Source organism: Homo sapiens, chromosome 3 (assembly GCF_000001405.40).
Source record: "Homo sapiens chromosome 3, GRCh38.p14 Primary Assembly".
Taxonomy (NCBI): Eukaryota; Metazoa; Chordata; class Mammalia; order Primates; family Hominidae; genus Homo; species Homo sapiens.
This window is the reverse complement of record NC_000003.12, coordinates 46,667,134-46,693,776: the sequence shown is the minus strand read 5'-3', so window position 1 is coordinate 46,693,776 and position 26,643 is coordinate 46,667,134. Positions and strand designations below refer to the sequence as shown.

Sequence of the window (26,643 nt, the reverse complement as noted above, 5' to 3'; positions counted from 1 at the left end):
CCCGGAGGCGGGGCGGGGCGGGGCTGGGCGAAGGGGGCGGGGCTGGCAGGGGGCGGGACTGGCAGGGGGCAGGGTGGGGGTGCGAGCGAGGAGCCGCACAGGCAGTCCCGGCGCGGGGCAACCACAGCGCTCAGGTAAGGGCGCGACGAAGGGCGCGCGTCTGCGGACGGGTGTCTGCGCTCCACGCTTAGCTCGTCCAGGTGGGGGCTCCCGCCTCCTCGGCTGCTGCGGTCCCCGCCCAGCTCCTTGGTCCCGGCGGCAGTCATCCCCCGGCCGTCCGAGTCCCTCGTAAGATACCCCGCTCACAGCGTCGTCCTCCCTGCCTGGCTGCTAGCCTGCTTGGGTTCGGGGCAGCGCCCCGGGCCTGACCTGAGCCGTGGTGGCAGGGCCACGGGGCCCCAGCCAGCAGGAGAGACTGCCAGGAGGAGGTGACGCCGGCTGGTTAGGGCGGAAGGGCCCGACCCGGGATTCCAGGAGGTGGCCTTTTCGCATGGGAGCGGCATGGCAAATGCCTGGCGGCCGGAACAGGAGCTCGGGTCTGGGAAACTCCAGCGACTGAGTGTGTGCCTGGGCAGGGAGAGGAAGGGAAGCTGGGACATATGCGACAGCAGGGAGGGGTGCTTGTCTAGGACAAGAGGCTTGTAGCCATGGTGGGGCCGAGGAAGGGTGCAGCGGGGAGAGGCGAGCATGAGACTGAGGGATCAGGTGTGACAGTTCAGCGCCCCCTCCCTGGGGCAGTGCGTGTCTCTACTCTCCCCCACTGGGCACCAGACAACGAAGGGGCTGCCACGGCAGCCCATGAAAAAGCCTCCACAGCAGGCAGAACTTCCCTGCCTGTTCAGACCAGGAAATACCAGAGTGAGTGAGTGTCACGACAAGGTGTGTCAGGGGCCTAAGGAGCCAGGCCTGGGAGAGGACAGGGAAGGCCCCAGTGACCCTGCCCGGGAGGGACCTAGCGTGGACAGAGGCCAGGAATGCAGAGGAGAGACCAGGTCTGGCTACTGGTTAGAGCGCCACAGGGGCAGCCGCTGACTCACCTGGGCACGCCGTGACTGGCCAGTTCTGTCCTCACCCTGCCCCACCCCACCGCACCCCGTGGTGAGCATCAGGGCTGCCTGAGGACAGCTGTGAGGCAGGGCCCGTCAGGATCTTGCTCTGTGCCTCAGGTGAGTTGCCCACCCTCTCTGAGCCATCTAGCTAGGTGAACCTGGTGGGCTGGAGCCAGAAGTCTGGGTCTGAGCCCTGCACAAGTTCTACACAAGGGTCTCTGGACCCTCCCATTGTTCCTGGGCCTCAGTTTCCCCATCTGTACATTAGGCACAGCCTGTCACTAAGGAACCTTTGAACTGGAGGGAGGGAGAGGGTGAGGAAGCTATGCCCTTGACTGGAAGGGGGAAGGTTAGGGATGGGACAGGGGTTGGGGAGGGGGGTACTCCTGCAGGATCCTCCTCATATTAAGGTTCAGCACCTCCTCCTCCTGCCCTGCAAACGTGCACACTCATGCACATTCACGCTGCCTCACCCCTGCACTTACACTCTCCTCATCACTTCCAGGATGAAGCCCCAGACTCCCTAGCCTGGGAGCTGGGTCCCTCAGGGTCACCTAACCAGAATCCCAGCTTCCACTGCGGCCTTCCCCCAACCCACTGCCTCACCAGCCATGCTTAACTTCTGCCCGTTCCTCTGGGTGGTGTGACTCAGTTTCCCAGGGTTATAGATCCCTTTGGGGCCACAGATGTGGAAGACTCCCAGATTAACAGTTGCCAACTTGAGTCTGGAGGACTCACCCCCGGAGTCATAGGCTGCTTTGTGGGGTGGGGAGTCTAAGGACCAGATCCCCACACCCAGAGAAGCCCCCTTCCACCTGTTTGTCCTTTTGAGGGGAGACTTAAGTAGTTTGAAAAGCTGTGATCCTCTTTGGCTGGGCGCAGTGGCTCACGCCTGTAATCCCAGCACTTTGGGAGGCCAAGATGGGTTGATCACTTGAGGCTAGGAGTTTGAGACCAGCCTCGTCAACATAGTGAGATCCCATCTCTAAAAAAAAAAAAAAAAAAGAATAGAAAGAAATACAAACAAATAAAAAGAAAAAAATGCTGTGATCTGGTTGAACCCCCATTTCGTAGAGGGGTGGCTGAGGTACAGAGAGGAGTAAGGCTGTGGATAAGTTGAAGCATGTCCAGGGCTGAGCAGCCAGGTGAGGGCTGCTCCTGGGGGAGCAGCTGAGACTGGGCAGTGGGGACGAGGGACAGGAAGCCTGAGGAGGAGAGGCTATCTCTAGGGTCAGAGAGCTCCTTGCCAGGGTATGGTGTCGGCTGGGGTCATGGTGCTGGCCCCCCGGAGAGTGTAGGGATGTTGGTGTTCAAGTCTTCCTAGCAGCGAGTTATTTACTGCAGTATCTTTTCAACGTGCACTGATCTGGTTCCTAGTCTGCATCTCCTATCCTAGCCTCACCCTTTCTTCTACCTTCCCAACCAGGCTTGGATATCCTCACCTCTTAGCTTAGACCCCAGCTGACTGCCAGCTGAGAGTGAAAAGGTCACCCCCAAAGCGCCTTTCCATTCCAGCAGTTTCGGGAGATACGGGTGAGAGTTAGGTGGGCCTGGCTGCACCCCTATTCCCTTGGCTGGGCTTTCCTTGTCTGCCTGAGCTGACCTGGAGCCCCCTGTGTCCTGGGGGCCTGGGTCTGCCTCAGGGGCCCACAGAGGGAGAAGAAGCTGCAGCACAGAAGCTGCAGCTGGGTGTCTGGTGGCTTCCCCTTCCTGCCTCTCTCTCTGCAGCCTCACCCTCTCGAAGCAGCAGTAGCAGGAAAGGTGGGGCAGGAATGCCTGGCCTGGGCCTTTGGCCAGAGCTCTGAGGGACCCGCCCCACTCCATTCCAGAGCCAATTCCCTGGGAGTTGTAGGCTCTGCCAGGGGCCTGGGATGCCCGCATGGCACTCTCGGGGCAGGGTGGAGAGGGGAGGGCTGAGACCCCTTCCCACTCACCCTTTTGGGTCTGCCTGTGTCACCTGCCCATCGTTGGCTGCCCTGATTTTGTCCCCTGCCCCACACAGGTTGGCTAACTCCAAAGCCTCAGCGTGTCAGAGACAAGGAGAGAGACAGTCTGCGGGTCTTGGGCTAAAAGACCCTCTAACTCTCCGCCCCAGATACCTGATCAGGTCATTTGGGCAGATGAACATTGCCAAGTGAGGGTACCAGGGTCTGGTAGGGGAGGGCTTTGTTGGAGTAGAGCCTGTAGCCTGGCTGTGGGGGTAGGTTTGAGCCCAGGCCTCTCTTCACCCCTCCCTTTAGGCAGGACACTGCATTCCCAGGTGATTCCTGCCTGATTGGAAGGTCCCTCACTCCAGGGCAGGAAATCTCAAGGCTCAAGCCCACCTGCCCACCCCAAGGGCCCCCACCCATCCAGCAGGCACCCCTTCAGGGTGGATGGTTGTGATCAGTGATCCCTCTGTCTGGTTAGGGGACCATGGAGGGTCCAGGCTCCCATCCACATTGAACTCTCTCTCACTGCCTGGCACTATCTCCTCTACAACTGTCATACATTTATTTCCCCAAATGTGACTTTGGATCCCATCATTACCTTGCTCTAAAGTCCTCCATGGCTGTCCACGGCCGACTGAGGCACAGTGAAGCTGTGGTCCTTTGGGGTGCTGCTTGGTGGGCTGCCCTCAGAGGCTGGGCCCTCACACCCATGAGCCTTTACTCTCAGGGTTCCTCCACTTGCCTGCTGGGTCCTGTCTTCCTTTTCATTTCTTGCCCATCATTCGTGGCTCTAGCAGGAGGCCTCCGGACTCCCCCATACCTCCAAAACTCTCCTTGCTTACACAGCCTGGTTGGGTGACAGGGAGTCCCGAACCATGGGCTAGAGGACAGGGCTGGGATCCTCTGACAGTATGACCCTGTTTATAGAGACTGCAGAATCCCTGAAGGGAGACTTGATGGAAAGGAGGCTAAGACCAGGGCACTACTAATACTATCCTGGGCACTTGGGATCCATGGTGGATATTTGAGCAGAGGAATGAGCAGGCCAAACTGGGCTTAAAGAACATCTACCCTTTGGGGAAGAAAGGGTTGCTTCCCTTGGCAGCTCTGAGCTCTCTCTCTCCTTCAGGGACCCCTCAGCTGGGCCTAGGCAGGGAGCAGGGCAGAGGTCAGTGGCCAGTCCAGGAACTCCCCTTTGAGGCGATCTGGGCTCACTGCTCAGTTCTGATGTGGGTGGTCATGGACCTTGCTTCTGGGCACCCTGCCTGAGAGGATGGGCACTGGCCTTGCTCCTGTCTGTGCTATCTAGCTGTAACCTGTGCCCTACCTAGGAGGCCCTGAGTCCGGCACCTGGCCATGTGCAACCCTGAGGAGGCAGCTCTGCTGCGGCTGGAGGAGGTCTTCTCAGCCACCCTCGCCCATGTCAACAGCCTTGTCCTCCAGCCCCTGCTCCCAGCCGGTGAGTCTAGGCTTTCTAGTGGGGAGGGAAGGGCACCGAGGAATGATCCCAGGGACAGGAGACCTACCTTGTTGGACTTGCTGAGCCACAGCTTTCTCAACCTCAAATAGGAGTGGTGACACCTGGTATCAGCATCTTCTGATGCAGGTGGTGCGATCTTGGCTCACTGCAACCTCTGCCTCCCAGGTTCAAGCGATTCTTGTGCCTCAGCCTTCTGAGTAGCTGGGATTACAGGTGCCTGCCACCACGCCTGGCTAATTTTCATATTTTTAGTGGAGACGGGTTTTACCATGTTGGCCAGGCTGGTCTCAAAGTCTTGACCTCAAATGATCTGCCCGCCTCAGCCTCTCAAATTGCTGGGATTATAGGCATGAGCCACTGCGCCAAGTCTGACTGCTCCTTTTTTAAAGGAACGCTGAGGGGCCAGGCCATGAACCTACCTGTAGCCCAGACCAGGCTGTACAAAGAGATGGAATTCCTCCTTTCCCAGGGTAAAAAACTGGAAACTGCCCTTTGCTTGAATTTTCATCTTGCTCCCACCTAGGGCACCTGATGGTGCCGGGAGGGGAACAAGACTGACTGGAACAGGATGCCTAGGTTTTACTTCCAGTTTAATTCTCACCTGTGAGGCCTTGGACAGGTGCCTCTGTGCATCTGTGAAATGGCAGAGGACTGTGTGACCCTGTGGACTTCACATTCTGGATCTGAGTAGTCCAGGATGAGGAGGCCCAGAGCCAGGGGGGAATTCGTGTATGTACTTAGTTCCCTGAGGCTGTCAGGGTTGTCCCTGTTTAGTGAGGAGTGGGTGTGTCTCCTGTTTCCTCCTCGAGGATACTGCCCACTGCTCCAGCCTGCCCTTCCCCTGCTCAGCTCTAGGGTTCACCAATTCTGTCCTGCGGATCCCAGGGATGCAGACCCTGCTGCAGCTCCAGGGCTGGCCGGTGCTGGTGGCTCTCATGTGAACACCTGGGGCCTGTGCATGTTCCCTGGGAGATGGAGCCCACGTCCTCTACTCACAGTGTGACTGTACTCCTTCCCCAGCCCCAGATCCCTCGGATCCCTGGGGCAGAGAGTGCCTGCGGCTCTTGCAACAGCTGCACAAGAGCTCCCAGCAACTCTGGGAGGTGACGGAGGAAAGCCTGCACTCACTGCAGGAGAGGCTGCGTTACCCGGACTCCACCGGTCTGGAGTCCCTGCTGCTGCTGCGAGGTGCTGACCGTGTACTGCAGGCCCACATAGAGTAAGACCACTGGAGGTGGGGCTGGGGCTCATCCCTGGTGTCAGAGTGACACCTGGCATTAAGGTTCACCTGGGGTTGGGGCTCACATGGGTCAGGGTTCAAGCAAAGGTTTGGGCTCAGTCCATGGTTGGTGCTCACCTGGGTTCAGCCTCACCTGGGCTTGGGTATTCGCCTGACAGCAGGCTCAGACACTCCAGACCTGAGGCTTGGGGCCTCTCAGGGAAGACAGACTGTATGTTAGAATTGTCTTGTTGGCCCAGGAGTTGAGGTCTCCAGTGCCCAGAGCCAGGCCACTGTGTGGGCCCTCAGGGCTGCAGCTGACTAGTGGGTGGGATCTGGGGATCCCAGGGACCAGGGGCTTAGGTCTGGGGCTGAGGACTGGGTTTGCAGGGTGTCCCCTGTGCTGCCTGCAGGTACATTGAGTCCTACACAAGCTGCATGGTGGTGCAGGCCTTCCAGAAGGCAGCAAAGAGGAGAAGGTGAGCACAGGGCTGGTGCACTGGCCCCTGACAGGGTGGGAGTGCCTGAGTGAGGGTGGGGTCGGGGAAGCCCCCTCCCCAGAGCAGCAGGTGTCACAGCCCACAACTCATCCTGGAGGACTCCTGGCTCTACAAATCTGCACTGATCCACACTGGAAGAGAAACAGGGAAGGCCCAGTGAGGCCAGGAACAGAATCCAGACCCGCTCTAGCTGGGCTGGCCTTGGGGCGGGGAAGGAGGGGAATCCCTTCAGGGTGGATGGTTGTGATCAGCAATCCCTTCATACTCTGAGATATTGCTCTTAAACCTGTGAGGGCAACTCAGGTACTGTGTTGATCTGATAGGGTAGAGGTTTTGGGCCTGGGGCTGGCCCTGGGATCTGAGGGGATTAGCTGGGGCAGGGAGGTGGCGGTGTGGGTGCAGGAATGGAGGAAGGGGTGAAGGTGGTGCGTGGCCCTCTCTACACGCAGCGAGTACTGGCGGGGCCAGCGGAAGGCGCTGCGGCAGCTGCTTTCAGGTGTGAGCTCAGAGGGCTCGGTGGGCGCATCGCTGGGCCAGGCCCTCCACCAGCCACTCGCCCATCACGTGCAACAGTACGTGCTCCTCCTGCTGAGCCTCGGGGACACCATTGGGGAGGTGGGTACCAGGGGCAGCAGCATGTGGGGAAGCCGAGGGAAGGGAGGGATAGGGCCCAGACTCAGGGGGCTCAGCCTATACTCAGGAACCCTAGTACAAGAAGGACTCAGCCATGCCGGCAGGTGGGAGAGGGTTGAGGAAGTCACAGGCCTGTCCTGTGGTTTTCAGGGGACATGGGGGACGTGGCCCAGCCCTGAGGAGGGGGTCCGAAGACATGGTTCTGTCCTAGGGAATCTTAGTGGGTGAAAGCACTGCCCTTCCCTGCGGTGTCTGAGGCACGTGGCCCTGCCCTGGTAGAGCCAGCAGAGACCCAGAGAGCAGGGGTAGAATCACGTCCTGGGAATGAGGACACGTGGGCCCAGGGCCAAGCTGGGGAAGCACCTTCATATTCCACCCCCTGCCCCACCAGCAGAAGAGGAGCTGTCAGGGAGAGAAGGGCAAGGTCTGGCCTAGATTCAGGCCTCCCCACCAGCCGGGACCAGGACTGGGCTAGGGAAGATTCCAGTAAGCTCTCCTCTCACTGGCTGCCCTGTCCCCCTTCAGCATCACCCAACCCGGGAGCTGGTGGTGAACGCAGTCACCCTCTTTGGGAACCTGCAGTCCTTCATGAAGCAGGAGTTGGACCAGGCTGTGGCCACACAGGCTCTCTGGCACACCCTGAGAGGCCGGCTGAGGGTGAGTTGGGGGCCTGAGGGGCAGTTAGGGAGGGGGTTCCACATTGGGCATGGAGATGTTGGGGGGCTTGAGCTGCTTGCTGTATTCTCTGGGCCTCAGTTTCCCTATATGGAAGGGGGAGTGATGGCTGAAGCAGGTGGCTGTAAGGTCCCTCTGTCCAGCCATTCTTATCTGTCTGCTGAGCACGTCCTGGGCCAGGCCCTGACCCGGCCTAGGGAAGAGGCAATCAGCAGAACCAGTCCTCTCCCCTGGGGATATCACCGATCACACCCTTGCGTCACTGCCCACCATGGCATGGACTGCCCCTGCAGGGAGGAGAGTCCCCTGTGCCCTGAGGTTTGGACCTGGTGTGGAGAATTAGGAGACTAGGTAGAGGAACGAGAATTGTGGAAGGGAGGCAGGGGTGGCCGAGTACTGGGAGAGGACTGATAGGGGCATGGCTGGGGCCGTGGCACAGAGGTGTGGGAGGGGACACTGAAGCTTCAAGAGAGCCAGGAATGTATAATCAGTGCATTTCTGCCTATCTCTGACCCAGGGTCCGCTCCAGGTCTACTGGAGGGGGCCTCTGGGAGGTGTCTGGGGTACATTGGGAGGTGGCAGAGTGGCAGGCAGCTTGCAGGACAGAGGTGCCTAAGCCTTGTACTGTCCTCTTTGCCCCACCAGGATGTGCTCTGCACCCCTGCTCACAGACTCCTTCAGGACAGCCAGGACGTACCCGTGACGGTCGCACCGTTGCGGGCTGAGCGTGTGCTGCTCTTTGATGATGCCCTCGTCCTGCTGCAGGTTGGGGTGGGGCTGACCCAAGGTCTTGAGGCCACAGTAGGGTTCTGGGGTCTGGCTGGAAAAGGAGCAGTAAAGGGGCATGCTGCTGGGACTGAGAAAGTGGGCTGGGAGGGATGGTCAGGGATAGAAAGGCGTTGTGTTGGGGAGGGGCGGTCCACTGGAGCTGTCCCCAGAGGAGCATGGGCTGAGGGGAAAGGCTGTCCAGGGTTTGTCCCGGCTTCAGCCCTTCCCAGCTGGTGTCCTTGGTTACATGTCTTCACCTTCGTTTTCCCATCGGGAATGTGGGGGTCATTGTGAGTGAGTTTGTTCTACAGTAGACACCAGACAACTCTTAGTTCCCATTGTACTCAAATGAGAGAGGAACCCCAGACAGAAAGTCATGGGTGACTGAGGGGTGACTAAGGAGGGCTGGATGAGAAGGCTTCTAGAGAAAAGTACCCTACAGGAGCAGTGCCTGGGCTTTCAGCATTGTGGAAGTCAGAAGGGAGCCAGGCCTGAGGCTGGGAATTGTTACATGGCCAGTCACCAACTGTGGTTCATCCATCCTGAAATCATGTTGTCCTGGTGAGGTCCACAGCACAGTCTTCTCTACCCCTTAGAAGGTTGGCCTGGAACCCCCTTGCAGACAGGTGGCCGGGGCCTGGCAGGAAGCTGCTGCCCAGCCTAGACCTGTGTCCCCTGAAGCCTGATTTTGGGATTGGTTCTGATTTAGTTTGAATTCCCCTCCACTCCCAACTTCACACTCCACTCCAGGTACACTGATGAGCTACTGTCCCTTCCCTGTGCTAGCCCTCTCCTGACGCTGGACCTTTGCACATGCTGTTGTGTCTGGTGGGCCATCTCTTGTCCCTGGCCTGCGGCTGGCAAGCTCCTCCTCACCCCTCAGGCCTGGGCCTCCCACGTCCTCCCCATTCTGGTATGGAGCAGTGATTGGCCTGACTGGGCCGGGTAGGAAGTTGCTACACAAAATCTTCCCATAGGAAGGGGCTTTTTTTCTGGCTGTCAGAGCAGGATGGCATTCCAGGTAGAAGGAACAGTATGAGCAAAAGTTCACAGTGAGGAGAGGTTGGGGCAAGCTCATGAAGGTGTGATTGTGGAGTGGCCCTGATGGCGTAGTGGTCTGTGAGGTCTTAAATGTTAGGCTCAGCAGTGTCTCAACCCCCAGGCAGTAGGAGCCATAGAGAGGTTTCCAGCAGGGGTTGACCAGGTCCCAGCTTCATTTGTAGACCACTCTGGTAGCCACAGGGGGCTAGAGGCTGGTTCTGAGTTCCTGGCCAAGCTCTGGGGTAGAAAGGACATGGAGGAGCTGTCCCTGAGGTGGGGAGCAAGCCAGAGGGGAGAGGGACTCAGTCCTGGACATGCTGGGCAGAATAGCCTTGGTGGCCACACAAGGTTGAGCTTGGGGCAAGCCTTGGCCAGAGGGTAGGTGAGCATCTGGCCTGGGCTCTGGATGACTCCTGTGTCCATCCTCTTCCAGGGCCACAATGTCCACACCTTTGATCTGAAGCTGGTGTGGGTGGATCCTGGGCAGGACGGGTGAGCAACCCCCTCGGCTGACACCCCAGGCCTTCTTCCCTTTACCCCCATGACACCTGCCCACACCCTGGGACTCTGGCTTGGGCCCCTCCACCCTCCTGGACAAAGCTGGGGCCTACTCATCACCTCCGTCTGTCTAGGTGCACGTTTCACCTCCTCACGCCCGAAGAAGAGTTCTCCTTTTGTGCCAAGGACTCCCAGGGCCAGGTGAGTGTGGGTGAGCTGTGAACTGCGGGAGCGGGGTCAGAGGACAGGGTAGGAAGAGGGCAGAAGTATGCAACCCTGCAGGGCCCCACAGGAGTGCCGGCGAGTGTCTGGCAGGCTTCTGGGGACCTGGTCAGAGTAAATCGGGGTCAAGAATTAGAATGTCAAAAAGAACAGGGTATTTTTCTTTCTAAAGACAGAATTGGGTCCTGTGTTGATCCCTGCCCTGAGGTCTTGTTTGGCCCCTCTGGGCAGGCCCTGAAACTGCAGAGGAGGATCTCAGGTTGGGTGGAGGGCCCAGAGAGTAGCAAGAAGCAGTTGAAGGGTCCCCAAGGTGACAAAATGGAGTAGGAGGTGGAGGGTGGAGGGGGTGGTACCTGGAGCTACCCCAGAAGGCTTCCTGGAGGGAAAGCCTCCAGCAGCAGTGATCCCCTTCCCCATGTTCCCCCTCCCACCAGGCAGTCTGGCAGTGGAAGGTGACCTGGGCTGTTCACCAGGCCCTGCATGGGAAGAAGGACTTCCCCGTGCTGGGGGCTGGCCTGGAGCCCTCCCAGCCTCCCGACTGCCGCTGCGCAGAATATACCTTCCAGGCAGAGGGCCGGCTCTGCCAGGCCACCTACGAGGGCGAGTGGTGCAGGGGCCGGCCCCACGGCAAGTGAGTGGCTGGAGCTCTGGGTGGCAAGGTGGGACTCCCTGGGGGTCTGCGGGGCAGAGAGCAGCACACAAGCCTAATTGTCTCAGGACATGTTCCAGGAGCGGTTACTCTCTGTGGACAGTCAATTCTCAGAGTCCCTCTTAAGTCCTCTTGGACTGGGCCTGGCCCAGAGACAGTCTGTGCCAAATAAAGTCTTGATGGTGACGCTAGAGGACAAGGGGCAGCAACCACGCGCTGGCCTTACAGCCTGCAGGTGCCATTCCATTCTTAGGAGGGTGGGAGAATAATTCTCACATCTGTACCTCATTGTCTGGCAGTGTTGAAATGGCTTGCACACATTCTATCTCCATCGGTCCTCATGAAGACGCTCTGTATGGAGTGCTTTTACCCATTTCATAGGTACAAACACTGAGGCCTAGTGATGGGCATAACCTGCCCAAGGTCTCAGGGCAAGTGATAGGGTGAGCCGGCCTCAATCACAGGTCTGTGTGACCCCACAGACAGGCAAGCCTTTATAGACCATGTGGCCCCACCCCATGCCACAGCTGGGAAAACAGACCCAGAGAGCAGAAGGGACTCACAAGGCTACACTCTCAAGCACCTCCGCTAGTTTCTGATACCCTGCCTCCTTTCAGAAAGGGCTCGAGAAGACTTATGAACAAAAGGACAGAAAAAACACAGAAGTGGGGAGGAGGGTGGTAGAAACCCCACAGACCAGCATTAAACTTGAGCTTGATTCTTAGCTCTGAGCTTCCTGTTGGTCAAGGGAAAAAAGGGAACCTAGATGTCTCCAGGGCTTTCCTTATGGGATGTGGTGAGTGTGCCCCATGAGGCTGCTGGTACAGTTGGGCCAGGAGTAGAAAAGGGCTAAAGGGGCTTTCTGCAAGGAATGTTCGGAGCTCAGACAAGAGGGCTGGGTGGGTGCAGGGAGCCCAGTCCAAGGGAAGAGGAAGGGAGGGCGTCTGAGAAAGTAGGTGGCTGAGGTTGCTGAGGGGTGGGTAGGCCTGAGGCTCGTGAACCTCCACTGTGTTCCAGGGGAACCCTGAAATGGCCGGATGGGCGGAATCACGTGGGGAATTTCTGCCAGGGCCTGGAGCATGGGTAAGGCTGGCTGGGGCTACTGCTGGGAGGCGTGCAGTGGGCTGAAGGGTGCTTTCCTCCCCTGCTGTGGTCACCAGCCCGGCCCCATCCTGAATTCCCAAACCTCAAGCAGGAACTTAGAGACAATCCGGTCCAGCCCCCGCCCACTGTACCAAAGGGGAACCGGGGGCCTGAATAGGGGGCCCGTCTCAGCTCGAGGTCACAGAGGGAGTGGTACAGGCCAAAAGGTGCTCCAAGGTGCTCGGGACCAGGCTGGAGGGAGGGGTCCTGAGAGGGGCCCTTTGAAGGATAGGAAGGCTGAGGGCCTCTGAGAGTCTCCCTGTTGTCTGGAAGGCTCCTTGGGGGCAGGGATACTCCTGGGTGGCATGGAGTAGGTGTAATGGGCGTCTCAGGTCAGGGCTGATCCCCACCCCCACAACCATGCTGTCAGCTTCGGCATCCGCCTGCTGCCCCAGGCCTCTGAGGACAAGTTCGACTGTTACAAGTGTCACTGGCGAGAAGGCAGCATGTGTGGCTACGGCATCTGTGAGTAAGTGACCCTGGCTGGGGGGTTCATGGGCTGGGCCCATCCTCTGGGCTGAGCTCCATGAGGCAGAGCTCGTTGTTGATGGCCCTCCCCAGGTACAGCACCGACGAGGTGTACAAGGGCTACTTCCAGGAGGGCCTGCGGCACGGATTTGGGGTCCTTGAGAGTGGTCCGCAGGCCCCCCAGCCCTTCAGGTACACGGGCCACTGGGAGAGGGGCCAGAGGAGCGGCTATGGCATTGAGGAGGATGGTGACAGGTGAGCGCCCTGCAGCCACCACTCCCAGGACGGAGGGGTGGACCGGGCCCTCACAGACCAGATTGTTGCAGGACACAGGCTCCTGTTTGTCCCCCACTGTGTCTCTCTTAAGCCCCTCACTTCCCCTCCAGTCCCTCGGTTGCTGCGGAGGCTCAGGCTGAGCGAATCTTGGTCACGCTGACTGCAGGGTCGCCCCCGCCCCTCACCCCTCCTCATGGTGTTGGAGAGGCATTTCTGACCCCCTGCTCTGTCACGTCTAAAAACTGCAGCCCTTGCTGGCTCTCTGGGCTGTGTGATAAAGCCCTGGATCCTTGGCCTGGCAATCACAGCCTCGCCTGCTTCTCTGACCTCACCCCAGCTGCGTCTCCTGGGCACCCCTCCAGCCTTTCTGGACCACTGAAGTCCCCACGTATCCATCACATGCTCCTACCTCCATGGCTTTGCACACACTCCTATTCCCCCTGTCCTTCCTGCCACCTCCACGGAGAAGCCTCCCAGATGCCCTTCCCAGGCTGCCTCCCTCCCTCCTCCATTCTCTATTCCTCTTGGGGGTCCTGACCTCTCTGGCACTGTGTCTGTTGAGTGGATTCAGGTGATGTCACTGCCCCTTATCTGCACTCCCTGCCGCCCCGTGCCAGCAGAGTGCCCAGGAGGTACATGGGAATGAGTCTGATCCAACTCTGGCCACATTCCTCTCCTTCCAGAGGTGAGCGCTACATTGGCATGTGGCAGGCTGGTCAGCGCCACGGCCCAGGGGTCATGGTCACCCAGGCAGGTGTCTGCTACCAGGGCACCTTCCAGGCGGACAAGACGGTGGTGAGTGGAGTGTATCCTGGGCTATCCCTCTCTTTGCACCCCACTCCCGCTGGGGGCACTGAGGCTGAGCTGAGGCCTTTCAGGGAGGGATGGGAAAGGGGGCTGTGTTCCTGGGTGCTGGAGGGAGCCAGAACCTGGGCAGGAAGCCAGCTCTACCACCCACCTCCCCTGGCCCTGGCCAATCCCTGCTCTGCCTGACCTTGGTTTCCCCATCAGCAACTCAGGTTAAGAATACTTACCATAGACTCAATGAACTAACAAGAATGGAGCACTTGCTCATGATGATGCATTAGCTGACATTCACAGAGTCCTAACTTGACACCTGGCTCTGGGCTAAGCTCCCACCCTGATCTTGTGGGATCTTCCCAAGAGCCCTGCAGGTTGATGTCATTATTATCCCTAGTGTGTCCCTAGTGAATGACAAATGAGAGGTTCAGAGGGATCAGAGGACCTGCTCCATGTCACCTTCACTGAGTGGCAGAGCTGACACTCACACCCTGGTCTGCTGAGCCTGGCCGCCGAGCCTGGGACTCCCATGTTTGCCTCACCCATACCCTTCCAGGTGCCTGGGGAATGTGGGGCTCTGGCCTGATGGCTGTTCCTGTTATTATGGTCTGTTGGTTTGTTTATGCTCTACTTCATTCTCGAAAGGATTGAAGGAGGCCTTCAAGGAAAGAGGAAGACAAGGGGAAGAATAAGTACACAAAATAGATTTGGAAATAAGCCGAACACTAATTGTAACCCTTTCGGCTCTGAGCTTCCCGGCAGCCCATGGGGCAAGGGAGCCTGGTCAGCTCTGCCGTTCCCAGGGCCAGTGACAAGCAGGGAAGCAGGGATGTTTCAGAGAAAGCCCCACATTTCTTGAGCTCCCAAGGGCTTCCTGAAGAAGCCGCTGGGGTGAGGAGCCAGGGCGGAGGGTGTCATTTGGGGAAATCCAGGGATGGGGTCCTCGGGGCTGGTGCTTAGCAGGCCAAAGGCTAGAGTCCCAATTAGGTACAGTCCTGTGGGGCGTGATGAGGCTCAGGGCCCCTCTCGCCATGTGTCAGGGCACATCTCCCTTCTTTGGCCATCTCTCTCCACCCTGAGTTTCCTGGCCCTTCCTCACCCACCCTTTCTACCCTCCCTGGCTTCCTCTCCCCAAGGGCCCGGGCATCCTCCTCTCTGAAGACGACTCCCTGTATGAGGGCACCTTCACCAGGGACCTGACCCTCATGGGGAAGGTGAGGACCACTGAGGCCCCCCTCCACACCCTGCCAAGGCCTTGGTTGGTGTCTGTAATCTCCCCACTTAGACTCAGGGCTGGGGGCAGGTAGGGGAGGGCCTGTCCCACCTCCCTTGGAGCCAAGGAGTGGGCACAGCAACTCCACCCTGCCACAGAGTTGCGATTGATTCTGGAGTGAGGTGAGAGGGGACCAGTGGCCTTGCCTGCTATCCAGAGGGTACCGGTGGTCTCCTGGCTGTGTCCCTCCATACCCTCCTAGTTCAGAATACACGCCCTCCACCAGTACCAGTGCCTCGAGCAGCTGTCCCTGGAGGCACTGGCCTTCAGTGTGTGCCTCCCTGAGCTAACCCAGGAAAAGGCAATGTGTCCCCGCTGGAGCCTTTGGAAATGTAGGGGCTGTTTTGGTTTCATAATGACTGGAGCAAAGGGGTGGAGATCAGGTTGCTATGAATGGGACAGCCTCATGTGGCAAGACACCGCCCTCCTCAGGCGTTGCCTGTCCCTGGGCTTACCCCCACCCCAGCCCCTCAGTGGTGGTCTCCCCACTCTTGCCTGTGAGTCCCTTCTGCATCTCTCTCCTCTTCCTACCTCAGAGGTGAGCGAGCCCCTGAGACGTGGGCACAGCTGTTGGTGGGGGGCTCTGGCAGGCATAGAGGATTATGAACCCCTCAGCATGGAGCAGCTTGAATGGATGGCGGGAAGCCCATTCATTAGTCCTTAGCCTCTCTGACACTGATGGACAGGCTTGTGGCCTGTCATGATTGGCTGGAAGGGTAACTGGGCAGACAGACATCCCTGCTCCTTCTCCTGGCTCCCAGGGCAAGGTCACCTTCCCCAATGGCTTCACCCTGGAGGGCTCGTTCGGCAGTGGGGCAGGGAGAGGACTGCACACACAGGGTGTGCTGGACACGGCTGCCCTCCCACCAGACCCGAGCAGTACCTGCAAGAGGTGAGTGCCTGGCCCCTCTGGCTCTGGGCCTATCTGGGGATGTGTCTGTGTTTCCATCCCAAAGACTCAGGTCTCCTCAGAGGGGCCTTTTTGCACCCACCTCTTAGCCCTCTAGAGAGTTCCGAGAGCCCAGGGTGTACAACTCCAGTCAGAGACTCTTGGGATCAGGGGCTGTGTGGATATAATGCGGTACACCACAAAACTGGAGAGAAATATTATTTGTAGGCTTTGCTTAGGTCCTGCTTTTTTTTTTTTTTTGTCTCGAAAGGATACAATACGGTTTACAAACCAAACATACAGGAAAAAAAAAATAGAAAATAAGAGCATATGTTAACCTTAAAAGAAAGGGATATGTAGACATGTCCTACGGCATTTACAACTGATCATTGAGCCTGGCTCTGAGTTTCCTGGCAGCCAAGGTAAAGAAGGAAACTTGCTAAGTGGAATCACAGTCATTATCAAGGAGTATTCCAGAGAAGGATAGACTTCTTTTCCTGTAGGAACAGAGTTCCTCCTTGGAAAACAGTTGCTCTTGTTGCGTCTGTTGAGGAAGACTCAGTATTGCACAGAGGAAGGAATCTGTGTGGGTGGCAGTTCTAATGGGAAGTGGTCCCAGGCAGCATTTCAGATGTAGGGAGGGAGTACAGTTGACTACTTGGCCCGCTGTCCCTGCATGCTGCTTCTCCCTGACAGCAGGAGCTGGGAGTGGACAGCAATCCCTAGGGGCAGGCCCCAGCCTGGGTGTGAGTGTGGGCTGCGTGTAGCCTACGAGCATGACACTGGAGTGCAGGGCTCCATTAGACATGCGCAGCCAGGCCCCAGCCTGTTGGCCAGGGCGGGATCAACCACAGGAAGGAACCAGCTGTAAGGGAGGGCAGAGGGGGATGTCTTGGAGGGGAATCCCAGACTTTGGACACTGGTCTCTCTTGGACCAAGACCCCCTCTCTGGCTTGGCCTCCAGATCTGCCCACCTTTCTGTCTCCGTCTTTCCAGGATTCCATATGCTTCTGTCTGTCTTCTCGTCGCAGGGTAGATTCTCTGTCCCTTTCTCTGCTGCTCTTCCTCCTGGAGCCGTGGAGGTCAGCCCCCTCTGCATGGTTCAATCCATCCACCCTTCTTGGGGCTTGATCCTGGGCCAGGCTCATACCCCCACCCCTCCAAGGGCCTGGGCAGAGTCCTGCCTACCTCAGCTCCATCTCTCTCTGCCCCATCACCCACCCTCCATCCCCATCGCAGGCAGCTGGGCGTGGGTGCCTTCCCCGTGGAAAGCCGCTGGCAGGGAGTCTACAGCCCCTTCCGGGACTTTGTGTGTGCTGGCTGCCCCAGGGACCTGCAGGAGGCCCTGCTGGGCTTCGACGTGCAGAGCTCCAGGGAGCTGCGTAGGTCTCAGGATTACCTGTCCTGCGAGAGGTGAGGCCGGCTGTGTGAGCATGCACAGGTTAGGGTGGGCTGGGGAGGGCTTCCTGGGGGGAGGGGGCTGGGCCGAGGTGTGGGTGAGGGATGCTGTGTGTGGTGCCCAGGACCCACCCTGAGGACAGTGTGGGCAGTATGGAAGACATCCTGGAGGAGCTGCTGCAGCACCGGGAGCCCAAGGCCCTGCAGCTGTACCTCAGGAAGGTGAGAGCCCTGCTGGGGTGGCCAAGGGGGTGACATTGTCACTGTCCCTGGTGGGGAAGGGCTCCCATTTTTCATAGCAGGGTGCTGACTGAAGGGGACAGGCCTGTGGATCCCTTGTCCTCAGAGGACCTCAGTGTTCTCGTGTATGAGATGGGAGAAGTGTTGGGAGGCTGGTGTGGGCATGCTGTGCTCCAGACCCCAGTGCTTAGTCTCTCTCTGTTGCCTATGCACTGGCCCAGGCTCTGAGCAACTCACTGCACCCCCTGGGAAAGCTGCTCCGGACACTGATGCTGACCTTCCAGGCTACCTACGCAGGTGTCGGGGCCAACAAGCACCTGCAGGAGCTGGCCCAGGAGGAGGTGAAGCAGCATGCCCAGGAACTCTGGGCTGCCTACAGGTGGGCTCGGTGGCAAACGGGACAGCTACTGCCCTGTGACACTAGTGTGCCCTTTCCAGGCATCAGTTCTGCCTTGCATTTGGGAGGAATGCCAAGTGTCTGATTCAACAATGAACCAGAGGCTTGGTCAGTGTGCAGCTGCTGAGCAAAAGGGTTAGAGGGTGGGGAGGTGAGAGCAAAGGCCCAGCTGCAGCCCTCAGCTAGAGTCCAAGACCCAACCAGGCGCTGGGCTGACTCTGACCGCAGGTGCACTCTCACCCCACTGTAGGCTGAGCTTGGCCCTGGACTCGGAACACACCTGCAGTCCCAGGCTGGGCTGTGACCCCATGAAACACTGCAAATAGAAGCCTTAGATGCTATAGTTCCTTCTGCTGCTGGATTCTCAGGCTAACATCCTGGAGCTCCAACCTTCTAACTTCTGTGGTTTGAGAGGATGAACCCTGCAGGCCATGTCCACAGTTCTGAGAGGCCACCTGCTTTTGCCTTTGTTGACTGGTGGTAGAACTCCAGTTCTGTGGCAAGGGGCAGCCACACCATTTCTCTCTCATTGACTCACAGGGGTCTGCTGCGAGTTGCCTTAGAGCGCAAGGGCCAGGCCCTGGAGGAGGATGAAGACACAGAGACAAGGTGACTGGCGCAGGTCTCCTTGGGGCCTGCCGTGTCCAGGGAGGCCTCATGCGTCTGCTCCTAGGACCTCCCTTGGGGAAAGAGGTGCTTCTGGGGAAGTGCTGGGCATTCACTCTATTGACCAAACATTGTGCATTGATCGTTTGTGGATTAGAATGACCCATGACCTCTGTTCTGTGAGGAACCAGGGAGGGGGCACTGCTACAATGCATTGAATGCATCTTTGTTCTAAATGTATGATCCCAATCTCATCTTTCGCATGCAGAAGGTGAGTAGCTCCCCGAGGCACCCTCCTCTCCCTGCACACAGATGGGGAAACCGAGGGCTGGTAGGGATGAGCCTGAGGTTATACAGGAGTTAGGTGGGCATGAAATTTGTTTCCCCCAGTCCCTGGAGCAAACCTTACAATTTGCCTTTAGATTCTAGACCTGAAAGTGTTCCTGATCAGAGAGGCCTTCCTGTCACTGCCTTGCAGGAGGCAAGGGAAATGGGGTTAGACATTAGGGAGGATTCCCCGCCCGGAGTCCTAGCACAGCAAACCAGGAGGTGGAACTGAATCAGCCTGGAATGGCTGCTGAGAGCTCAGCTGCAAGTTGCTGGTCCATCTGGGGCCCTGGTTTTGCTTTCAGTCAAATGGGGATCCAACTCCTGCCCCACCTGCCATCTTGGTTGTCAAAGTCAAAGGAGGGAATGAAGTTATGAATTGAATTGGGCAAATGATGACTGAGAACAGGCTTGGAAAAGGTTTTCTGGGGAGGAGGAGGCTGGAGGCCAGGACACTGTTTGTTGTGGAACTAGGAGCTCTTTGAGACGAGACTCCAAGTAGTAATCCCAGACCCCACCTTGCTCATCCCAACCTGTTCCGGTCTCCCCATCAGGGACCTCCAGGTGCATGGATTGGTGCTGCCCCTCATGCTGCCCAGCTTCTACTCAGAGCTCTTCACGCTCTACCTGCTGCTTCATGAGCGGGAGGACAGCTTCTACAGCCAGGGCATTGCCAACTTGAGCCTCTTTCCTGATACCCAACTGCTCGAGTTCCTGGATGTGCAGAAGTAAGCCTTCCCTTCCCCCGTGCCGTGTTAGCCAGGACTCAAACTCGACTCAGACTGTCTTCAGCCAAAAGGTGGGGCTGGGGTTGATAGGTTCATGTACCCACCAAGTTCTAAGCTTATGCATTCAGGTGTGGCTGGATCTAGGTGTTCAACTGAATGACAGAGGGAAGCACCTTCCATTTCTGTTGGTCTTTCTCAGCCTCCCCCTTGTGGTGACAAACACCATAAGCACCAACCGCTCAAGGTTCATACCCTCCCAGCTCCTCTCCCAGAGTCCCCACAGGAGCTGGCATTGCCTTCCAACAGCTCCCTCAGAGCCCCTGAAGTCCCTCACTGGCTCGGCTTGGGGCTTGGGTCTTGAGCCCACCCCTGAGTGCCAGCCGTGATTGACCAGGCCTGCCTGAATATCCACTGCTGAGGCTGGGGCAAGATCACCTGCTCTGAGCACTTGGGCTGAGAGTAGGGGAGAGGAGGTCCCTCAGGGGAGACTGAGGACTGCTCTGGGTGCATGTCGGGAGGTGTTTACCACACCCCAGGGCCTCCCTTCCACCCTCAGTCTCCAAAATGTCCTTTCTCTTCAGTGTCCCATCTATCCATTGATGCCACAAGTGACCCCACTGTCCACAGTAGAGGGCACGGGCACTGTCTCTGCTCCCACATCCAGGTCTCCTTTGTTACACAGGGATGGTGCTTCCCACCCACCCTGCAAATCCCTGTTTCTTCCTCTATCTTGGTGACTGTGTCCTGCATCTGACCAGCCACCAGCCTAAAGACCTGGCTGCCAGTGCTTCCCAAGCATGCCCCGCCTCCCTCACCACCTCAGTGTCGCTTCCCCACACCAGCCTCCACCTCTGCTGCATGAGGGCTGCATCCCCCTGCTCACAGCCCTGTGCTGGCTCAGCAGAGCCTCCTGGATGGAGTGCAGTCTCCTCACCCCTCCCTCTCTACTGGTCACCACGACCTGGCTCATACAAGCCCCTGGGCCGCCCTTACCTCCCTGGAGCTTCTGGAGCTCTGCCTTCTCCAGGAATCCTTCCATCCTCCCCATGACCTAGGCTGATCTCCTTCCCCTTTTCAGGACCCAGATCTGCCGGGGGAAACAGTGGCATAGGGAATTTGCCCTCTGACCTCAGACTCTGCCCCTTGTCGAGGCAGAGCCTCCTGTCTCACTTTTTCAATTTCAGGCACTTGTGGCCCCTCAAGGACCTCACGCTGACGAGCAATCAGGTGAGAGGGAGGCCAGAGCCCCAAGCCAGGGGCCCCCAGAGGTCCTGCAGGCTTTGAGGAGCCCTTTGCCTCATGATTGCTGGGCGGAGGCTGCAGAGGAGCTGGGGAGGGGCAGGGTGGGTTGGGAGGAGACACTGTCATTCTGACCTCCCAGTGTGGTGGAGGTAAGCTGTTGGCCTGTAACCACCAGGCTCAAACACAGGTTCTTACCTGGCTGTGTGACCGTGTGCAAGAGGCTCGTGCACCGTGCCTCAGCTGCCTCATCAGTAAAAGGGAGCCAACACTAGAACAACCTCAAAATTCTTATTTTATTTATTTATTTATTTACTTTTCGAGAAAAAGTCTCACTTTATCGCCCGGGTTAGAGTGCAGTGGTGCGATCTCAGCTCACTGCAACCTCCGCCTCCCGGGTTCAAGTGACTAACCTGCCTCAGCCTCCCGAGTAGCTGGGATTACAGGCGCCTGCCAAGTGCTCACTACCATGCCCAGCTAATTTTTGTATTTTTGGTAGAGACAGGATTTCACCATGTTGGCCAGGCTGGTCTCAAACTCCTGACCTCAGGTGATCTGCTTGCCTTCGCCTCCTAAAGTGGTGGGATTACAGGCGTGAGCCACTGCGCTTGGCCAGAACCACCTCAAAATTGTTGTGAGGGTGAAGTGGGCACATGAGGCAGCTGTTCTCAAAATGTGCCTGCCAGGCTGGAAGCATCAGGATCATCTGGGAACCTGTTAGGAAAGCAGATTCTTGGAACCACCTCAGACCTACCGAGTCAGAAATGCAGGGAGTGGGCCCGGGAACCTGTGTTTCACTAAGCCCTTGGGTTTGAGAACCATCGACATAGGCACTCAGAACTGGGCGGCACCCAGTGGCCAGTGCCTGTTATGATTATTATCTTCTTATCCGTTTGGATCCTCCCAACCTCATGGAGACTATTCACCCCGTTTTATGGTTGCACAAACTGAGGCCCACAGTGGAGCTGTGACTTGCCCTGGGTCACTCAGCCCTCAGGGTGGGGCTGCACTAAAGCTGGCAGTGAAGGGAAGGGTGGCGGGGGACTCAGGCCCGGCCCTGGGAAGGAGGGGATGTCAGAGCTGGGGGGCCATGGCCTCATCCAGCCCACTCCCTCCACCATGCAGAGGTACTCCCTGGTCAGGGACAAGTGTTTCCTGTCAGCCACCGAGTGCCTGCAGAAGATCATGTGAGTGTGAGCCGTAGTGGGTTGGGGGTCCGGAGGCAGAGTGTGGGGTGCTCCTGGTTGGGACTGAACCAAGGGCCTTGACCTGGAGCCAGCTACCCTGCTGCAGGACCACGGTGGACCCACGGGAGAAGCTGGAGGTGCTGGAGAGGACATACGGGGAAATTGAGGGCACGGTGTCGAGGGTATTGGGCCGGGAGTACAAGCTGCCCATGGACGACCTGCTGCCACTTCTCATCTACGTGGTGTCGCGCGCCCGGTGAGGCAGTCAGGAGCTGGGGGTGCAGGGCAGGGGCAGGGTCCCACCCCCAACCACGATATCTTCTGATACCTCTGAACCCCAGGGTTTATGGATGCAGCTTCTCTCTGTACAGATGGGGAAGCCAAGGCCCAGAAAAGGGAGGGTCCCAGCCAGGGTGCTGGGGTGCTAGAGGTAGAGTGAGGACCACACCCCAGGTGTCCAGCCATCCAGGCCAGCGCTCCTTCCCCAGCTGCCTGTCCGCGACAGGCCTCTTCTCCTTGTCTCCCTCGCTCTCTTGGTGGGGCGGTGTTCTCCAGAATTCAGCACCTGGGAGCCGAGATCCACCTGATCCGTGACATGATGGACCCCAACCACACAGGAGGCCTGTATGACTTCCTGCTCACAGCCCTGGAGGTAAGGGACAGGGGCTGTGGACCGAGGTGGAAATGCCCTGGCCCCTGGGGCAGACCCTTTTCCCTTCCCAGACATCATAACACCATAGTGGGAGGGAGCTCAAATTCACAGCTCATGTGTGACTCTGGGAAGGGTCCTCACAGTGTCCCTGATCCTGCTCTTATTAAAGGAGCCAGGGAGGGGTCCCACAGTGCATCCCAGCCCTGGGGACCCTGGGGCCATGATTGCTCCATGCTGCATTCCCAAGCACAGTGGGAGAGGAAGGGCCCCATTTTCCTCGCAGACTGTGGCTGAGGGCTGAGTTGGAGACACGCCTCCTCTGGGTTGGGAGGTGGGTGCACACAGCTATTGAGCCCTAGATCCTGTGCATGTGGTTGGGATCAGGCAGGTCAACTGGCCTCAGCCTTGCCTCTCTCCCTCCAGTCCTGTTACGAGCACATCCAGAAAGAAGACATGAGGCTGCACCGCTTACCTGGCCACTGGCACTCCAGGGAGCTCTGGTAGCCTGGCCTTTCCTGGACAGACTGAAGAGCTGAGCAGGGCACTGCCAGCCTGTCCCTCATTACCCAAGGCAAGGGGCAGGACAGGCCCTCAGAAGCAGCTCTTGGAGGAGATGAGCATTTTGTTTTGCACAGGAAGATGCTGCTGCTGCCCTGACTGGGATGAGGGTGAGGGGTGACGGGTGTGGCCCTGGATGTGGTGGTTTTCCCTTGGCCACTAGCCCATCTTCAATGACCCCTTAATCTGCAGCAGCTCACAGGCTGGGGGTGAGGAGTCCCTGGCTTCTCTTAGCCTGAGCCTTTCTCCCAAGTTCCAGAGCCTCTCCGGGCCTCAGTGCTGCCATCTGTACAATGGTGGAGTGAGTACGCTGTAAAGGACCTTCCATTCATTTTGCTGAATTCCAGAGTCCTTTTGGAAAACTGACTTTAGTCTGCTGGGCTGTATTGACCTCTGGCAGGCTCGAAGCCTCACTGGGTATGCAGTCAACAGGATGGGCCTGGAGATCCGTGAACTGCAGGCCACGTACCCATGACGTAAACGGCGGCACTGGAGCAAGCTGGGGCGGGGGGTGGGTAAACCCTCACTGCCAGCAGGCCCCAAGTGGCTTGTAAATCATTCTCCTGTGATGTCTGTGGGCCTGCGTGGGGACAACAGGGGCACATGACATCTGCCTGGGCCCTGACCAATAAACCCTCAGACCCAGGACCCAGGACCCTGCTGTAGTTGGGGAGCAGGAGTACCTTTGGGAGGGGAGGACTTTATTTAAACAGTGGTTCTAGTGTGGGACCAAGAGAGGCAGGAGCTGGGTCTTGGGGCAGCTTTATTCCTGTTGGGCCTCAGTTTCTCTTCCCCACACAGTTTATCTTCCGTCACATTGTGCCGGGTGACGTGCACGGTCTCCCTCTGCCCTAGCCGGAGATGCATGATGACAGGCAGTGTGATGTGTTCTGAAAGTGTCCAGGGCAAAGCGTAGGGAGAGGGTGGATTTGTGCAGGGTGCAGCTCTGGAGAAGAAGCTGGATCACTCTTGGTCCCATTCCCTAGGCCCTGAGCAAGTCAGGCTCCTGGCTCTGGGTGTGGCTCCCCCAAACGAAGTACTGACTTCAGCCTGTGAGGGGAGGGTTGAGGGAGGCTCTGGAAAGCCCAGCCACACCTGAGTCCCTGGCAGTAGCCTTGGGGCAGAGGGCACCCGCAGAGTCCCAGAGATGATGTGGGCAGTGGGCAGAGAGAGCCTTGGCGCCTCTGTTTGCCACCACTTCCCCAGGAAGGAGGGACAGCATTTCTCTGGCTGGTTCCACTAAATGTGCCAGCCCAAATGCAGGGCATGGGCTCTGGTTCTGCCAGGAGCCTGTGACACCCCCAGGAAGGGGGTGGAACTGAGGAAGAGCGAGGATATGCAGGCACTCATGCTTACCGGGACTGGGGCAGCTCACTAGGATTCTATCCTTTCCAATCGGCATCAGCCAGCTCTTGTCCCCTGATAAGTGAGGACAGCCTGACCCTGGCCTCAAATGCAGCCATCCCTGAGTTCATGCGATGCTGACGGGACCCCAGCACACTTCCCTGCCTCCTTTGAGATCTGCGAGCCCTTGCTGCAGTTCAGATTCAACAAGGCCCTCTGCCCACCCTCTCACTAGGCCTCACCCAACACCAGTGGAACTGGAGCCTCTGGCTGGGCACAGTGGCTCACTTTGGGAGGCTGAGGCAGGAAGGCTGCTGGAAACTGAGAGTTCAAGACCAGCCTGGGCAACATAGTGAGACCCTGTCTCTACAAATACAAAATAAAATAATTAGCTGGGTGTGTTGGTGTGTGCCTGTGGTCCCAGCTACTCGGGAGGCTGAGGTGGGAAGATCCCTGAGCCTGGAGGGTCGAGGTTGCAGTGAGCGGAGATCGCACCTCTGCACTCAATCCTGGGTGACAAAATGAAACCCTGCCTCAAAAATAAAAATAAAAATAAAAATAAAATAAATAAAAAAGAGCATCTGGACAGAGCCTAGGGGGCTGCAGTGTTTTAAAAGGGTCCTGGAAGAGTCCAAGGGCAGACAGAGCTATATCAGACCCTTACAACGAAACCCACAGAGCAGGCAGGCAGGCAGGAGTCCTTGCTGTAGATGAGCCTGACCACTGCAGTGAGTGCTTCATGCACAGAAGACCCACCCAGTCCACATTCCAGGGTGACCTCTCCCAGCTGCTGCAGGAGCCCCTGGCTGCCCAGAGAGCCTGCTGGTGCCCAGTCTCTGGATGGCAGGGTTGGCCAGCAGGGACCCTAGCACCTCAGTGATCTCACTGATGTTCAGAGCAGCCTGGCAGGGCCTAGCTCCAGTCCCTCCACCATTCTAGTTCCCACCTCTTTCCCGGGATGAGGATTCTCTCTTCAGTGGTGATCTTGAGGAAGTGCTAAGATTCTTCCTAATAATCCCAAATGGCACTTCACAATCACCTGGGACAGAGTGGAGAGAGGCACAGGGAGACACGGCCCATTCACGGACTCAGGCAGTTTCCTCTCCTGTAAGGGCTGAGTCCCAGGCTACAGTGGGACTCAAACACATTGGCCTTGCCCTCGGGGGCCAGGACGTGGGGCTGAGAATGACAGATACCCAAGGGGCCAAAGGCCTTTTCAGTGAGCAGATGTGTCCAGGTTGCACAGCCGGACCACCTGCTTATCCTAGACGGCAGCCCTGGCCCTGGACAACCGCCCCACCCACAACTGCACCCGGGCCTGCATGCAGTCAATCATACAACCTCTAGTCCTGCTTCCCCCAGGCCCACTACTCCCTTCACCAGTCAACTCCATCTGCCACCCTGTTCTGCCCTGCCCTCCTGCTCCTGCCCCTCTCACTCATCTCTTTTCTTGCAGAAATGCCCTCCTCCAGTCCCACTAGGTCCTAGGCAGATCCATCCTTGCAGGCCTAGGTCATATGAAGCCCCTGTTCCCCTAGGAAGAAGGCTTCTCTCTTCACAGCCCCTTTCCAGACCTGGGCCCATGTTTCATTGCTTTGGCGGGGGCTCTCTTGCCTCCAAAGTCAACAGTCCTCTGTGGTGTCTTCTTCCCATCCTTCCCCCGGGCACAGTGCAGGCCGCCTCGCCAGGGGCCTGTGCTCCACAGCAGTTGGGGACGAGGACAGAATACAGGTTGACACGGGAGGGGTTGGACTCTGAAGGGCCTGACCCCCAGAGTAGGTCAGCATCTCAGACTGGCTGGAGAAGCATCCGTGCAAACAACCCCTCTGGTGTGTCCAGGATGGACGGGCCCCAGGGAAATGGAGCCCCGGGCAAACACAGGCCAGGAGTAGACAGCAAGTTGATGCTGATGCCTCAGGAGAAGGGGAAGAAAAGATGGACACCCTCTGTGCCTTGCTCCATAGTCACACACGGCACCAGAGGCTCAGGCCTGGCCCTCCTGGGGCCGTGTGCCCACACCAGGCAGCTATGATGCCAGTGTGGCAGGACACCTCCAGGCACTGCCCTACTGCTTGGTTGGAGCTCCAGCTGCAGGAAAGCCACAGAGTGGCGTGGCCAGGCTATAGCCAGTGACCCAGAGGTAGTGGTGGATGGAGAGGGCGTTCTGAAAGGGACCAGGGCACAGCATGGCCCCATGAAGTCCTCTGAAGGGACTGCTGACTTCTTTGTCAGCGAGCCTCCCCAGGGGCCTCCTGGATGGCAGCCCTGTTCCCTGTCTGGAGTATGGTCTGGAACAGCTGCCCCACAGTGGGAGCTGGCAGGCATCTGAGGGACCCGAGTGCTGACCAAGCCTCTGTTCATTCACACCACCCCCGAGGATGCTGGAGCCAGTGCGTGAGCAGGGTGCCCACTGTGCATGCCCCTTGCCTACTGCAGCTCCAGAGAAGGCTGG

General features: G+C 58.1%; 1 protein-coding gene across 4 annotated transcripts, besides 6 other annotated features; it reads left to right on the top strand.

The window, feature by feature from the left end:
• Positions 4 to 298: a silencer, noted in NCBI's record as "tiled region #4085; HepG2 Repressive non-DNase unmatched - State 10:DNaseD, and K562 Repressive DNase matched - State 4:PromP". NCBI's record gives its function as "represses a minimal TATA promoter and a strong SV40 promoter by Sharpr-MPRA in HepG2 and K562 cells {active_cell/tissue: HepG2 | K562}" and the evidence as "EXISTENCE:reporter gene assay evidence [ECO:0000049][PMID:27701403]".
• Positions 24 to 273: a silencer, noted in NCBI's record as "silent region_14291". NCBI's record gives its function as "represses an Ori minimal core promoter by ATAC-STARR-seq in GM12878 lymphoblastoid cells {active_cell/tissue: GM12878}" and the evidence as "EXISTENCE:reporter gene assay evidence [ECO:0000049][PMID:35858748]".
• On the top strand, positions 98 to 24,782 carry ALS2CL (ALS2 C-terminal like). Of its 4 annotated transcripts, none has more exons than NR_033815.3 (26): positions 98 to 134; positions 4,312 to 4,439; positions 5,481 to 5,679; positions 6,093 to 6,158; positions 6,629 to 6,794; positions 7,338 to 7,469; positions 8,133 to 8,252; positions 9,730 to 9,788; positions 9,929 to 9,995; positions 10,451 to 10,647; positions 11,683 to 11,748; positions 12,179 to 12,273; positions 12,370 to 12,531; positions 13,236 to 13,347; positions 14,490 to 14,567; positions 15,388 to 15,518; positions 16,755 to 16,928; positions 17,039 to 17,135; positions 17,375 to 17,532; positions 17,801 to 18,159; positions 19,038 to 19,211; positions 20,396 to 20,438; positions 21,576 to 21,637; positions 21,744 to 21,893; positions 22,193 to 22,289; positions 22,713 to 24,782. NR_033815.3 is itself a non-coding variant. In NM_147129.5 (26 exons), the coding sequence occupies exons 2-26, from the start codon at positions 4,337 to 4,339 to the stop codon at positions 22,791 to 22,793; spliced, it is 2,862 nt and encodes a 953-aa protein (NP_667340.2). In that variant the 5' UTR covers positions 98 to 134; positions 4,312 to 4,336; the 3' UTR covers positions 22,794 to 24,782. The 4 variants fall into 4 exon arrangements, 2 of the variants coding, with proteins under 2 accessions (NP_667340.2, NP_001177636.1); NM_147129.5 differs by having other exon boundaries at positions 12,179 to 12,277; positions 18,091 to 18,159; NM_001190707.2 differs by having other exon boundaries at positions 98 to 288; positions 12,179 to 12,277; positions 18,091 to 18,159.
• Positions 743 to 1,534: an enhancer, noted in NCBI's record as "H3K4me1 hESC enhancer chr3:46733733-46734524 (GRCh37/hg19 assembly coordinates)". NCBI's record gives its function as "activates a minimal SCP1, AML or CMV promoter by ChIP-STARR-seq in naive H9 embryonic stem cells {active_cell/tissue: H9 hESC(naive)}" and the evidence as "EXISTENCE:reporter gene assay evidence [ECO:0000049][PMID:30033119]".
• Positions 14,583 to 15,082: an enhancer, noted in NCBI's record as "H3K4me1 hESC enhancer chr3:46720185-46720684 (GRCh37/hg19 assembly coordinates)". NCBI's record gives its function as "activates a minimal SCP1, AML or CMV promoter by ChIP-STARR-seq in primed H9 embryonic stem cells {active_cell/tissue: H9 hESC(primed)}" and the evidence as "EXISTENCE:reporter gene assay evidence [ECO:0000049][PMID:30033119]".
• Positions 17,449 to 17,997: an enhancer, noted in NCBI's record as "H3K4me1 hESC enhancer chr3:46717270-46717818 (GRCh37/hg19 assembly coordinates)". NCBI's record gives its function as "activates a minimal SCP1, AML or CMV promoter by ChIP-STARR-seq in naive H9 embryonic stem cells {active_cell/tissue: H9 hESC(naive)}" and the evidence as "EXISTENCE:reporter gene assay evidence [ECO:0000049][PMID:30033119]".
• Positions 21,297 to 22,107: an enhancer, noted in NCBI's record as "H3K4me1 hESC enhancer chr3:46713160-46713970 (GRCh37/hg19 assembly coordinates)". NCBI's record gives its function as "activates a minimal SCP1, AML or CMV promoter by ChIP-STARR-seq in naive H9 embryonic stem cells {active_cell/tissue: H9 hESC(naive)}" and the evidence as "EXISTENCE:reporter gene assay evidence [ECO:0000049][PMID:30033119]".
• Positions 24,783 to 26,643: the final 1,861 nt, after the last annotated feature.